The sequence below is a fragment of the Homo sapiens genome, chromosome 3 (genome assembly GCF_000001405.40).
Source record: "Homo sapiens chromosome 3, GRCh38.p14 Primary Assembly".
Taxonomy (NCBI): domain Eukaryota; kingdom Metazoa; phylum Chordata; class Mammalia; order Primates; family Hominidae; genus Homo; species Homo sapiens.
Window position 1 is genome coordinate 118,904,201 of NC_000003.12, and position 15,452 is coordinate 118,919,652.

General features: G+C 39.0%; 1 protein-coding gene across 11 annotated transcripts in view; it reads right to left on the bottom strand.

The window, feature by feature from the left end:
- Positions 1-15,452, bottom strand: part of IGSF11 (immunoglobulin superfamily member 11) — a 245,464-nt gene that overhangs the window by 3,644 nt on the left and 226,368 nt on the right. For 5 of the 11 annotated variants that reach the window (NM_001353320.2, NM_152538.4, NM_001015887.3 and 2 more), the window contains 2 exons: positions 1,396-1,518; positions 448-598 (listed from right to left, as the gene is read on the bottom strand). In NM_001353320.2, the coding sequence (NP_001340249.1) occupies positions 448-598; positions 1,396-1,518 (274 nt within the window). The remainder of the gene's footprint in view (positions 1-447; positions 599-1,395; positions 1,519-15,452) is intronic. The other 6 variants (NM_001353322.2, NM_001353321.2, NM_001353326.2 and 3 more) reach the window with 3 other exon arrangements.

Here is a 15,452-nt window from a genome sequence, read left to right on the forward strand (position 1 = left end):
TGTTCATATTCTTGTCTGAACTACCTTTCTGAGCCATAGTGCTGTGGTCTGACTGTGTACAGGCACTGGTATGCTCTTACGGAGTTCCTTCTTGCTTTATGTTCACATCTATTATAAATGTCAATAGTAAACACGTTTTAGACACTACCTTTCCCATTGTGGCAGCCACCTAACCCTGCCTACCCTGGAGACACGGAAGATAAGGAGAACTCTTCATTTGTATCCTCCTAGTTGGGCACATGCTGGACCTTTCCCTCCTTCATGATCCAGTGAATAAAGCTGAGTAGTACCATGAAGAAAAGTGATATACAAGAAAATACCATTTAGCCACTTTAATAGTCTCGGCCATCAGAGTTTTATGATTAGTAGATATATCTTAACTGACACAAATGAATAGAAGTACACAATGGCTATGCAGGACAAATTTTAAAAATCTGACATACAAACCTTATTTCATTAGGAATTTCTTCTTCTTCCTCCTCTTTATTTTTGCTTCTCCAGTAAAAGAATGCCCCTAAAATTAGTGCAATGCAAAAAATGATAATAACTGCACCAGTGCCAATGGCTCCAGCTATTAGTCCAATGTTCCTGGGCTGGGCTGCAAAATATATTTAAGATATATTTAAAGAAAAGAGAAAGAGAGAAATAGCATATACCCATGCAACTGTAATAAGCACATAAGCTTACTAAATAATCTGCTTAAAACGTATAAAACTCTCTAAAATCTTTCATCTATATAAAGTTAAACCTCAATTAACTTTCTATATTGTCAGTGGCTAGGACTAACACATAGTAGGCTCTGAACATATTTTGAATGAATAAACAATTAAATGACTTGCACATTTTAGGAGAACAATACCCACATTAGGTAACAGACAGCACCAATCTAACTTGCCTGGTCTACCCTACATGAATGCTGGAAACTAGGGGATATCCTTCTACCTCAACCCAGCCAGATCACTCCCTTTTGCAACTGGAATTCAAATATCCCAGAATTCTCAACTAAAGAGAAGTTTTCTACACTGCCATTTATAACCTAGACACCCCAAAATTTTGCAGATAAAAGAAACAAGGAAAAAACACAAGAAAGTCTTACTATACTCATAAGATTATTACCATTTTTATAATGTCTATAGCATTATACAATAAGAAACTATCCAACTTTATTGATCCTGAGGAGAAAGATATTTTTTCATAAAGATTATCATATTGCTGAGGCTGGAAAGTATACTAAAACATTTATAAACAATTTTCAATAATAATTAAAACCAAAACAATTTCTATTTAATCTTCAGATAACCTTAAGACAATTCAGCAGAACCCTTCATTTTCTGGTATAACAAAGATCTTAGAGTTTCAGACCCATGGTTGACATCAGAATTTCCATATGCTTACGTGAAATAACCTGGAGATCCAGAAGACAGGTGCTGGTTCCAATAGCATTAGAAGCCACGCACTGGTACAAACCTGAAGACAGGGCACTGATGTTCCGGATGGTGACTGTTCCCTGGACCTGGTCTGTCACAAAAATAATAACCGAGTGAGGATTTGGCGGGACTAATAGCAAAACCAAAGAAATCAGCGGAAGACCATAAAAACAGACGAACACTGGAGAGCTATCAATAAATTTCTTTTTTGTGGGGGTAGGGTGAGAAATTATTGGTTCATGAATGTTAAAGACTAAAACTACTATATCACTTTAAAGACCTGGAACTTTGGAGCGCTGTCCTAAATCAGAACAATCTTAAAACTGAATCTGCAGGTAAGCATGTAAAGTCCTAAATGTTAGTAGACTTCCCTGAGGAAATGGTAGCTAATACTTATCCTAGGGAATTTAAGGTAACACCAAATTCTAGTTCTGAGGAACTGCAATAACATAAAGATCATGTTAAACTTATAATAACTTTAACTTCATACCTGATGAAGAAAATATCAAATCTGTGCTCTAAGGTATAGACTGTTACTCCCTAACAACAACAATTACAGTTGTTTGTGTTAGCTCAGATCCTCCAAGAAGCAGACACCAAGACAAGTGTGAGGTTGCCTGGAGGAAATACCAGTAAAGGAAATGTGAGAGGAAGCTGCAGAAGGCAGGGAGAGCCTCAGACTTCGGTGTAGATCTCACCACTCACTGTCAAGGGGACAGGGAAGCAAGGAAGATTGGGTAGGAAGAGTCTCAGGCTGCAACACAGTTTTATGGAAGTGTCCACCAGGCAGATGGGGAGTCCCTGAGCCAAAGTCACCTGTTAAGGGAGTCCCATGCTTTGCAGAAATAGGCCTGCATTAGGCCCTAACCCTAACCCTAATTCCTCATCACTGGCTGGGAGCAGCCCAGGGGAAGCTTGGTCTTGGTGCAAAGCAGTGGTGGATCTACAGGGGAAGCAGCATGGCTTTCAGTCAATTATGTTCCCCACATCAGGAGTTTGAACAACAAATTTTCAAGGCCACTGCACTGGTATTGCCAAGAAATGCTTCAATAGTTCACATTTTAGTAATTCATCAACATTAGCATAGTTTGATTATTTATTCCTATAAAATACAAATGACTTACAGGAATAACTTTAAAAAGTTAATAGTTATTAGTATGTTCCAGGCATTGGGTAAGCTTTTATATGTATTATTTCAATCTTTACAATTACCCTGAGGTATTTTTATTATTAATCTCATTGAACAGTCAAGGAGACTGAAGCTTTAGATGTTTAATAAGATTACACAGCTGGTTGTTAGGAAATTCAATTGGATGAAGGGGCTGTCTCACCTCTAAGCTCTAGGCTTCACTGCCCTCCTTATGCAGGAAAGAGAATACATTCTGTCATCTCAACCATTCAAAATAGCTGCAAATTTAGAAGTAAATGGAAAAGCCTCCTAACAGGACAAGTAAAAAAATATTCTGACACAAAGTCCAAGTATGCCTGGGGCAACACCTAGAGCTATCCCCATCCTGGGTTACTTATTTTTACATGGAACTAAGATTTAGTTAACTGGTTTCTGCTGGCAATCATCATCTCTATCTAGATCAAAGGCAGAAGCAGACACGAGGAGTCAGCAAAAGCAGATCTGAGTAAAGTGTGCAGCATTTATTAATTCATTCATTTAATAAATAAATATTTATTGAGCATCTTCCTTTGTGCTTGGTTTTCTGAGGATGGTGATAAAATAATGAACAAGACAGGCCCAGTCCCTTACCCTAATGAGACAAGTATACACACAATTACAATATATGGAATAAGTGCCAGCCAGTGCTAGAGAACAGAGGGGGATAGGGGAGCATACAGGAGGGACATCTAATGAGGGATTGAGAAATCAAATAGACTACAGGGGAGGAGAAAATAATTGCTGTCTCAGAAATTGCCAGGCACACAGAAAGGTGCTAAATAAAAGTGATCAATAAATAAAAGTGCTGCCTACTCTTTAGCGTCTGTTGTGTACCACATACACTGCACTAACAGCATTAAATATGCCTCATTTAATGTTCGTAACAAGCTTATGTTCTATATTCCCTACTTTTCAAAGATAACTCAAAAAAGCTATGAAATTTGTCCAAGATCACAGAGTACACAAGTAGCAGCAATCTATAAAATGAGGTTTGTCCAAGTCCAAAGCTTATACTCACCATACATACACTTGGCACTCTAGTAAGGCATTTAAAACCACATTATTCTAGAGGATGCACCTATAGAATATTTCCTGACCAATAAATGTTCCAATGCTGTTAGTAATATAAACTAAGCAATGTGCCTATCTCCCTCTTCATGTACACATGTACTAATATCATCAACGCAAGAAAACCATAATCTCTGGGCAATCAACCACATAATTTGTGTTCCTGGGGTTTTTGTTGTTGTTGTTGGTAGTGGTGGTGGTGGGTTTTCCCCTAAGCTCTGGAATTCTAAAAATTTGATGAGCTCACACCAAACTGGTAATTTTGTTGACATTTCCAGAGACAATTTGGGAAATTTTAAACAGCTCCTCTACGCAGCATTCTGGCATGTAGAAAGAGGTAAACTGTAAAGACTCTTGCTTTGAAAAGTTATTTTTAAAAGGTGAAGTCAATGTCTTCCTTTTGTCTCTATAGATGCCAATACTATGACCATGTTTCTGTAAGATAATATTATTAAATGAAGTTGATATACCATGGTAGATTTAACTTGGAATATAATCAGGGAAGGAGACAGGTACATTGATAACAGAAGATTAACCAGAACAAAACAGCCCTGTTTATGTGACAAGGCAAAATAGAGAAGAGAGCAACTCCAGCAAACAGCAGACTGTTTGCAGCCACAAAGCACATAGCCCTTCCCAAAACTAGCAGGCTAATTCTGCCATCTGTCATTTCACTTGGTCTGCTCAGGCAGGGAAGTATTTTTCTGAAATAGAGAATAAATATATTTTTTAGCTTCTTTTAAAGAATAGGGAAAGTTCAATGGCATGAAACTACATAGTTTGGGGAACTCAAAGGACCTCACACTCCACTGTTTTAGTTCATAGCAACTATGCACTTGGTTCACCAGCTACGTATCTGGCACAGAAGGCCCTTCTGAATTAGAAAAAAACAAATGTTAGTGTACATTTCCAGTTCCATCCTTTCTCCTTAGTTCCAGAATGCTGCCTCTGGCTGCCTAGTAGCTGATGTATCTGCTAAGAGCATGTTCCAGTTAGACAGCCTAAGTTTGAGTCTATTCTACCTACTACTGGTCATATGGTCTTGAGTGTGTTCCCTGTTCTTCATCTATATTTTAGTTTCCTCATCTGTAATATGGAGCTACCAAAGTGCCTACAAACTGTAGATTACTGTGAGGACTAAATGAAAGGTTAGTATAGTATATGGTAATGTTTCCATGTGGGAATTCCTTCCTGGTACTTCTAGGGGAACTGATATATTTTTCCGAATCATAAAAAAATTCAGTCAAGAAATATGAAAAATGTCTAGTGTCTCCCAATGGATATTAATTCCCAATAGATATTGATCTTCAGGATTTGAAGAGTTAGATAAGAATTCTTAAATCATAATTATATATTTTCATATGACTTATATATTTTAAATAATGAGTAACTATAATAAACTGAACATTTCTTATATAAAAGTTTCAGAAGTATTCTGTAGGCTATATAATAATGGATGTATACTTGTTATTTGAATGAATATGTTACATCAAAATTATATATTTCAATAATATGTAAAAATGATCCTAACCTGAAAAAGATATTTAATTTTTTAAAAATTGTAAATAAAGGGAAATACAAAATAAATGTCAAAAATCTGTGGAAAAACTTAAAGATGACATCACAAATACTTAATATCAAACTCTATTAAAGATAAATTTAAAATATAACATTGGACACAGAAAATTTTATTTCATTTTGTGTTGATGCTGGCTGAATTAAGGCATAGATGGAGAAGGGACAGGGAAAGAACCTGTTCCCATTAATAGAATTTCCAAGGGCACCGTCCAGATGGATGTTAGGATACATCCTGCTTCACAGCAGCTCAGTGCCTTTAGACAATGATAAAAATATTTTGTCTGTTTGCCCTGATTTTGGTTTGGCATTGAAACAGATATTGCTTTTGCCAAATCAGATTTTAGATTCATTTCTGATGTCATGTTAGTATACTGCAGAGCAACATTCTCACCCTCTTCTATTTGTGTTTCTGCCATTCAAGTATTCACAAGGAGCTGAAGCTTATAGCAAATATTCAAACTTGTGAAAATACCAATGAACATTACTCAGCATTATTTGAATAATGTAGTGTGTATAAATACATTAGTATTTCTTTGCAAGAATGATTCATCATTAGCAACATACAAGAAGGCCATGACCACACACTTATCACATGGCAAAAGCTACAAGCAAGACCAACTAATTAGATTTTGACTGCTTCTCTCCTACCCACTTCTGTTGACTCTGCTTTTAGGTTTAACTGGACATCAAGATTCTTCTGAATCAGTATATCTCTATGTTGACTGTTGCTCTTTAATTCTCAAAGAATGGCACATGGTGTTCAAGAAATGTTACCATTATCATTATTTCAATCCCCATATAGAGGTCCCAGGAGACCACTAACTCACTGCTTTCCTCAAGCAAACTTCTACAAATTTCTCTTCTGAGTTAAGATGGTTACTGTTGATTCAGTGCCCCACAACAGGAATCTGAGTTAACTCTGACTCTTCTGAGTTTAAACATCTAATCGAGCCCCATATATTGTAATATTTTCCTCAATCTCTCTTGAATCTTACCCTCCCCCACTGTGCCTTCTCCACCCCTGTCACTAGGGACTTAGTTCAGGTCCTTGTCATTTCTTGATGGGGCTATTAACAAAGCCTTCCATTTATGACTGGCTGCCAATCTTTCAGCCTGATTACTGACACAGTTTCTAAAATGCGTATCTGGTGATCTCTTGTTTATAAATGTCAGTGCATCTCTACAGTTAAAGATAACATCCAAACTCCTTGCATATTATATAAAGCCTTTCACAATCTGGACTTCACCTTTTCCAGCTCCTCTCTGGTCAAATCCCCACGAACCTTTATGTCAGCTTCACAGATCTTCTCACTAAAAATGTCAAACTTTTACACTTGCAAGATTTTGCAAGCATAGTTCCCTGTATTTATAATACCCACTTTTAACCAGTAAAACTTCTATCCATCATTTAAGAACCTTTTCCTGCTTGGGAATCCTTTTCCCTACAAAGTTCTTCCTGGACTCTTCAGGAACAAGTAATATTTCTATCATTTAAATTTTATAGCACTGCATACATTTTCATAGCATTAACATGTAGTGCTATGATTTTCTCTTTATATCTGTCTCCTCCATTAGGCAGTGAGCTCTAGGATGGAGATATGTTTCCTTGTATTTCTCCACCTGCCCCAACACTCAACTCTGAAGCAGTTGCAGAGTAAGGTGTATGTTTATGTGTGTGTGCACACACACACACATATATGTAAAAATGAATGAATATATACACAAATTAATACAGTTATAACTGTTGACATTTAATCTTTTAAAAAAGAGGAAGTACTGAACACTATATGGGGTTTGCTTCATGTCAGAGGGCAAAAAAAAAGGGAGAAAAAACTCAACTTCAGTTAGAATAACATCTTGATGAAGGAGAAATAAGCACTTGTTTATTCAGCACTTTTAGTGGGTGAAAATTTTCTGCTCCCCATGAAAAAAATTATGGAACCACTCTTACTGGGAGGGGAAACAGCAGTGTCAGTTCAAGAAACAGAATCAGGCTGCGTGTGGTGGCTCACACCTATAGTCCCAGCACTTTGGGAGGCCGACGCATTTGAGACCAGCTTGGTCAACATAGCAAGGCCCCATCAGGACACTAAGGCAGGAAGATAACTTGAGCCCAGGAGTGTGAGGTTACAGTAAGCTGTCATCATGCCACTGCACTCCAGCCTGGGTGGGTAACAGAGCAAGACTTTGTCTCTAAAAAATGAGAGAAGAGAGAGAGAGAGAACAAAGAGGAGAGAGGAGAGAGAAGAGATAGAAAGTGAGAGAGAGGAGAGGAGACACAGAGAGAGAGAGAGAGAAAGAGAGAGAGAGAGAATATCAAGATTCCTGAGTGTTACAACCACGCCAAAAGAATTTTAGTCCTTCCTATCAGTTTTGGGCAAACCTGGTCTCTTCTAGGAGCCTCAGTCTTCTCCCTTGTAACATGAGAGTGGGACCATGGTGATATTTAAGATACTCTCCTGCTATAGCTATGATCTCTAAAGATCTACACAGAGTTCACAGGCAAGCACGAGAGATAATCATCTCTCTTCACTGTATTAAATTATGAAAGGATGAGGAAAACAGAGGATTTCTTACAAACCATGAAAGAAAAACGTATAATCTAGTTTCAGAAAATGTTAACCATTAATAATGAAAATAAATACACTATACTTTATATTTACCAAGATAAAAGAATGGATAGAAAATGAATTGCCATTATTTGCATATAATTTTTAAAAACACATTTTAAAGTTCTCTGTGCATCTTTAAAGTGTGAAGGTTATTCTCCCCTTTAAGTCAGAAGGGAGGTGTTTTTTTTCTAATTATCCCTCAGCTTTCCTTTCTGAGTTCAAGTTTTACTGACCATTGTGAGAAACAACTGTGCTTATCTCCATCCTTGGTTGCCAAGAAGCTGCAGGACTTGGAGAGTGGGTGTCATTCCAGGAAGGAATTCCACTCCATGGCTTGATATGCAGCTCCTGTGAGCTAGCTCCAGCCCTGGATTTTCAATTGCTGCAGGACAAATCCCGTGTTGCCTCACATCTCCAATCATCTCACTCACCAGTACAGGGCCCAGCCGCCCGACCACACTCACTGTATGGACAATCATCCCTTTCCTGTTTTGCTCATCCCTTCATCTTCCCAAAACCTCTAGAGCTGTTGGCAGAAACAAATAGAAAACATAACCTACAGCTTAGAGAAACTATAGAACAATCCAGGTGAAGCGTTCACATGAGGGAAACAGGAAAGGAATATCACCATGAAGAAAAGTTAACTACACAACAAACAGGAGGATTAGCATACAAAGAGCATAAAGTTATGTGAAGGTCACTATAAAATTAGTATGCTTACAATTATTAAACATATACAGAATAGTCACCATAATAAAAGAGGATGATGCCATGAAGAGACAAAGGCAACATAGAAATAGCCAGGTGCTGTGGCTCACATCTGTAATCCCAGCTACTCGGGAGGCTGAGGTAGGAGGATTGCTTAAGGGCCAGGAGTTTGAAGTTGCAGTGAGCAGTGATTGTGCCACTGCACTGCAGCCTGGATGACAGAACGAGACTCCATCTCTTAAAAGAAGGAAAGAAAAGAAGAAAATAAATTCAAAACTCAATGGATAAGCTGAACAGCCATCAGAGTAGAAGAGAGAACAGGTGATCTGGAAAAATAAAAAACAAAAACAAAAAAAAAACCAGAATGCCACACAGAAAGGTAAAGAAGGTAAAGACATTTACGGATAAGCAAAGGATTAAAAAAACATGGTTTACAGAATTAAAAGACTAAACCAAGAGCTAACAGGAAACAATAAAGAAAGAAGAGAAAAGGCTATATTCAAAAATATAAGGACAGAGATTTTTCCAGAAGTGACAAAAAATACAATCTCTCAATTTAAGAAGCACCACAAGCCCATAGCAGGATTAATAAAAATTAACACATACCTAAAATATATTCTAGGATCTACAGAACACCAAGTACAAAACAACTGCAAAAAGCAAAGGAAGGAAAACACAAATGCCTACAGACTACCAGCAGATTTCTCAACAGAAACAAGAAAGGTGGGAAGAAAATGAAACATTTTCAAATTCTTGAGAAACAATAACTGATAACCTAGCATTTATACTCACTAAACTGCATTAAAGAGTGTAGGGAAAAAAGATATTTTCAGAAAAACAAACATGAGAACAACAACACTCATAGATCATCAATGTAATACCTACTGAAGGGTGTGTGTACTTTACTATAAGAAAATGGAACACAGAAAAAATGACTGTGATGAAAGAAGCAATGGAGCAAAAAAAATGGCAAACTTGTGGGTAAATCTAAATAAAACCGTAATGTATACGTAAACGATGATGAAAATGGGGATGATTAATAAGGAGAAAAGTTAAAAATAAGGTGGAACAAATATACTAAAGCCAAGAAAATAACTAAAATGCAGACAATACAAACACAGAAATTAAACATATCAGACAGAAGCTGAGAGTTATGGTGGACTGAATGAAAAGGTCCAAAAAATGGCTAATAGGAGAGAAGAGAAAGAACTGATGAGACGAAATATTCACAAGGATTAGGGAAAATGGAAGAAAGACAGCTTTCTATGGTCCTATTATTTGGATAGAGAGTAGAGTTTTTTTTTACTTCTAGACTACATTAAATCAAGTATGCATTTGAGAACTTTAAGAATAAGCACGAAGAGAAATACACTTATAACTCTGAAAGTAGAGGAGAAAAAATATTATAAAGAATATTCAAATAATCAGTAGAAGATATGGGAAGAGGGGGCATAAAGAAAAAAGCTTAATAAATAGAAAATCGGGGAGGAGCCAAGATGGCCGAATAGGAACAGCTCCGGTCTACAGCTCCCAGCGTGAGCGACGCAGAAGACGGGTGATTTCTGCATTTCCATCTGAGGTACCGGGTTCATCTCACTAGGGAGTGCCAGACAGTGGGCGCAGGCCAGTGGGTGCGCGCACCGTGTGCGAGCCGAAGCAGGGCGAGGCATTGCCTCACCTGGGAAGCGCAAGGGGTCAGGGAGTTCTCTTTCCGAGTCAAAGAAAGGGGTGACGGACGCACCTGGAAAATCGGGTCACTCCCACCCGAATATGGCGCTTTTCAGACCGGCTTAAAAAACGGCGCACCACGAGACTATATCCCACACCTGGCTCGGAGGGTCCTACGCCCACGGAGTCTCGCTGATTGCTAGCACAGCAGTCTGAGATCAAACTGCAAGGCGGCAGCGAGGCTGGGGGAGGGGCGCCCACCATTGCCCAGGCTTGCTTAGGTAAACAAAGCAGCCGGGAAGCTCCAACTGGGTGGAGCCCACCACAGCTCAAGGAGGCCTGCCTGCCTCTGTAGGCTCCACCTCTGGGGGCAGGGCACAGACAAACAAAAAGACAGCAGTAACCTCTGCACACTTAAATGTCCCTGTCTGACAGCTTTGAAGAGAGCAGTGGTTCTCCCAGCACGCAGCTGGAGATCTGAGAACGGGCAGACTGCCTCCTCAAGTGGGTCCCTGACCCCTGACCCCCGAGCAGCCTAACTGGGAGGCACCCCCCAGCAGGGGCACAGTGACACCTCACACTGCAGGGTATTCCAACAGACCTGCAGCTGAGGGTCCTGTCTGTTAGAAGGAAAACTAACAAACAGAAAGGACATCCACACCGAAAACCCATCTGTACATCACCATCATCAAAGACCAAAAGTAGATAAAACCACAAAGATGGGGAAAAAACAGAACAGAAAAACTGGAAACTCTAAAATGCAGAGCGCCTCTCCTCCTCCAAAGGAACACAGTTCCTCACCAGCAATGGAACAAAGCTGGATGGAGAAAGATTTTGACGAGCTGAGAGAAGAAGGCTTCAGACGATCAAATTACTCTGAGCTACGGGAGGACATTCAAACCAAAGGCAAAGAAGTTGAAAACTTTGAAAAAAATTTAGAAGAATGTATAACTAGAATAACCAATACAGAGAAGTGCTTAAAGGAGCTGATGGAGCTGAAAACCAAGGCTCGAGAACTACGTGAAGAATGCAGAAGCCTCAGGAGCCGATGCGATCAACTGGAAGAAAGGGTATCAGCAATGGAAGATGAAATGAATGAAATGAAGTGAGAAGGGAAGTTTAGAGAAAAAAGAATAAAAAGAAATGAGCAAAGCCTCCAAGAAATATGGGACTATGTGAAAAGACCAAATCTACGTCTGATTGGTGTACCTGAAAGTGATGCGGAGAATGGAACCAAGTTGGAAAACACTCTGCAGGATATTATCCAGGAGAACTTCCCCAATCTAGCAAGGCAGGCCAATGTTCAGATTCAGGAAATACAGAGAACGCCACAAAGATACTCCTCGAGAAGAGCAACTCCAAGACACATAATTGTCAGATTCACCAAAGTTGAAATGAAGGAAAAAATGTTAAGGGCAGCCAGAGAGAAAGGTCGGGTTACCCTCAAAGGGAAGCCCATCAGACTAACAGCGGATCTCTTGGCAGAAACCCTACAAGCCAGAAGAGAGTGGGGGCCGATATTCAACATTCTTAAAGAAAAGAATTTTCAACCCAGAATTTCATATCCAGCCAAACTAAGCTTCATAAGTGAAGGAGAAATAAAATACTTTACAGACAAGCAAATGCTGAGAGATTTTGTCACCACCAAGCCTGCCCTAAAAGAGCTCCTGAAGGAAGCGCTAAACATGGAAAGGAACAACCGGTAGCAGCCGCTGCAAAATCATGCCAAAATGTAAAGACCATCGAGACTAGGAAGAAACTGCATCAACTAACGAGCAAAATCACCAGCTAACATCATAATGACAGGATCAAATTCACACATAACACTATTAACTTTAAATGTAAATGGACTAAATGCTCCAATTAAAAGACACAGACTGGCGAGTTGGATAAAGAGTCAAGACCCATCAGTGTGCTGTATTCAGGAAACCCATCTCACGTGCAGAGATACACATAGGCTCAAAATAAAAGGATGGAGGAAGATCTACCAAGCAAATGGAAAACTAAAAAAGGCAGGGGTTGCAATCCTAGTCTCTGATAAAACAGACTTTAAACCAACAAAGATCAAAAGAGACAATGAAGGCCATTACATAATGGTAAAGGGATCAATTCAACAAGAGGAGCTAACTATCCTAAATATATATGCACCCAATACAGGAGCACCCTGATTCATAAAGCAAGTCCTGAGTGACCTACAAAGAGACTTAGACTCCCAAACATTAATAATGGGAGACTTTAACACCCCACTGTCAACATTAGACAGATCAACGAGACAGAAAGTCAACAAGGATACCCAGGAATTGAACTCAGCTCTGCACCAAGTGGACCGAATAGACATCTACAGAACTCTCCACCCCAAATCAACAGAATATACATTTTTTTCAGCACCACACCACACCTATTCCAAAATTGACCACATAGTTGGAAGTAAAGCTCTCCTCAGCAAATGTGAAAGAACAGAAATTATAACAAACTGTCTCTCAGACCACAGTGCAATCAAACTAGAACTCAGGATTAAGAATCTCACTCAAAACTGCTCAGCTACATGGAAACTGAACAACCTGCTCCTGGATGACTACTGGGTACATAAGGAAATGAAGGCAGAAATAAAGATGTTCTTTGAAACCAATGAGAACAAAGACACAACATAGCAGAATCTCTGGGACGCATTCAAAGCAGTGTGTAGAGGGAAATTTATAGCACTAAATGCCCACAAGAGAAAGCAGGAAAGATCCAAAATTGACACCCTAACATCACAATTAAAAGAACTAGAAAAGCAAGAGCAAACACATTCAAAAGCTAGCAGAAGGCAAGAAATAACTAAAATCAGAGCAGAACTGAAGGAAATAGAGACACAAAAAACCCTTCAAAAAATCAATGAATCCAGGAGCTGGTTTTCTGAAAGGATCAACAAAATTGATAGACCACTAGCAAGACTAATAAAGAAAAAAAGAGAGAAGAATCAAACAGACACAATAAAAAATGATAAAGGGGTATCACCACCGATCCCACAGAAATACAAACTACCATCAGAGAATACTACAAACACCTCTACACAAATAAACTAGAAAATCTAGAAGAAATGGATACATTCCTCGACACATACACTCTCCCAAGACTAAACCAGGAAGAAGTTGAATCTCTGAATAGACCAATAACAGGAGCTGAAATTGTGGCAATAATCAATAGTTTACCAACCAAAAAGAGTCCAGGACCAGATGGATTCACAGCCGAATTCTACCAGAGGTACAAGGAGGAACTGGTACCATTCCTTCTGAAACTATTCCAATCAATAGAAAAAGAGGGAATCCTCCCTAACTCATTTTATGAGGCCAACATCATTCTGATACCAAAGCCGGGCAGAGACACAACCAAAAAAGAGAATTTTAGGCCAATATCCTTGATGAACATTGATGCAAAAATCCTCAATAAAATACTGGCAAACCGAATCCAGCAGCACATCAAAAAGCTTATCCACCATGATCAAGTGGGCTTCATCCCTGGGATGCAAGGCTGGTTCAATATACGCAAATCAATAAATGTAATCCAGCATATAAACAGAGCCAAAGACAAAAACCACATGATTATCCCAATAGATGCAGAAAAAGCCTTTGACAAAATTCAACAACCCTTCATGCTAAAAACTCTCAATAAATTAGGTATTGATGGGACGTATTTCAAAATAATAAGAGCTATCTATGACAAACCCACAGCCAATATCATACTGAATGGGCAAAAACTGGAAGCATTCCCTTTGAAAACTGGCACAAGACAGGGATGCCCTCTCTCACCGCTCCTATTCAACATAGTGTTGGGAGTTCTGGCCAGGGCAATCAGGCAGGAGAAGGAAATAAAAGGTATTCAATTAGGAAAAGAGGAAGTCAAATTGTCCCTGTTTGCAGACGACATGATTGTTTATCTAGAAAACCCCATCGTCTCAGCCCAAAATCTCCTTAAGCTGATAAGCAACTTCAGCAAAGTCTCAGGATACAAAATCAATGTACAAAAATCACAAGCATTCTTATACACCAACAACAGACAAACAGAGAGCCAAATCATGAGTGAACTCCCATTCACAATTGCTTCAAAGAGAATAAAATACCTAGGAATCCAACTTACAAGGGATGTGAAGGACCTCTTCGAGGAGAACTACAAACCACTGCTCAATGAAATAAAAGAGGATACAAACAAATGGAAGAACATTCCATGCTCATGGGTAGGAAGAATCAATATCGTGAAAATGGCCATACTGCCCAAGGTAATTTACAGATTCAATGCCATCCCCATCAAGCTACCAATGACTTTCTTCACAGAATTGGAAAAAACTACTTTAAAGTTCATATGGAACAAAAAAAGAGCCCGCATCGCCAAGTCAATCCTAAGCCAAAAGAACAAAGCTGGAGGCATCACACTACCTGACTTCAAACTATACTACAAGGCTACAGTAACCAAAACAGCATGGTACTGGTACCAAAACAGAGATATAGATCAATGGAACAGAACAGAGCCCTCAGAAATAACGCCGCATACCTACAACTATCTGATCTTTGACAAACCTGAGAAAAACAAGCAATGGGGAAAGGATTCCCTATTTAATAAATGGGGCTGGGAAAACTGGCTAGCCATATGTAGAAAGCTGAAACTGGATCCCTTCCTTACACCTTATAGAAAAATCAATTCAAGATGGATTAAAGATTTAAATGTTAGACCTAAAACCATAAAAACCCTAGAAGAAAACCTAGGCATTACCATTCAGGACATAGGCGTGGGCAAGGACTTCATGTCCAAAACACCAAAAGCAATGGCAACAAAAGCCAAAATTGACAAATGGGATCTAATTAAACTAAAGAGTTTCTGCACAGCAAAAGAAACTACCATCAGAGTGAACAGGCAACCTACAACATGGGAGAAAATTTTCACAACCTACTCATCTGACAAAGGGCTAATATCCAGAATCTACAATGAACTCAAACAAATTTACAAGAAAAAAACAAACAACCCCATCAAAAAGTGGGCGAAGGACATGAACAGACACTTCTCAAAAGAAGACATTTATGCAGCCAAAAGACACATGAAAAAATGCTCATCATCACTGGCCATCAGAGAAATGCAAATCAAAACCACTATGAGATATCATCTCACACCAGTTAGAATGGCAATCATTAAAAAGTCAGGAAACAACAGGTGCTGGAGAGGATGTGGAGAAATAGGAACACTTTTACA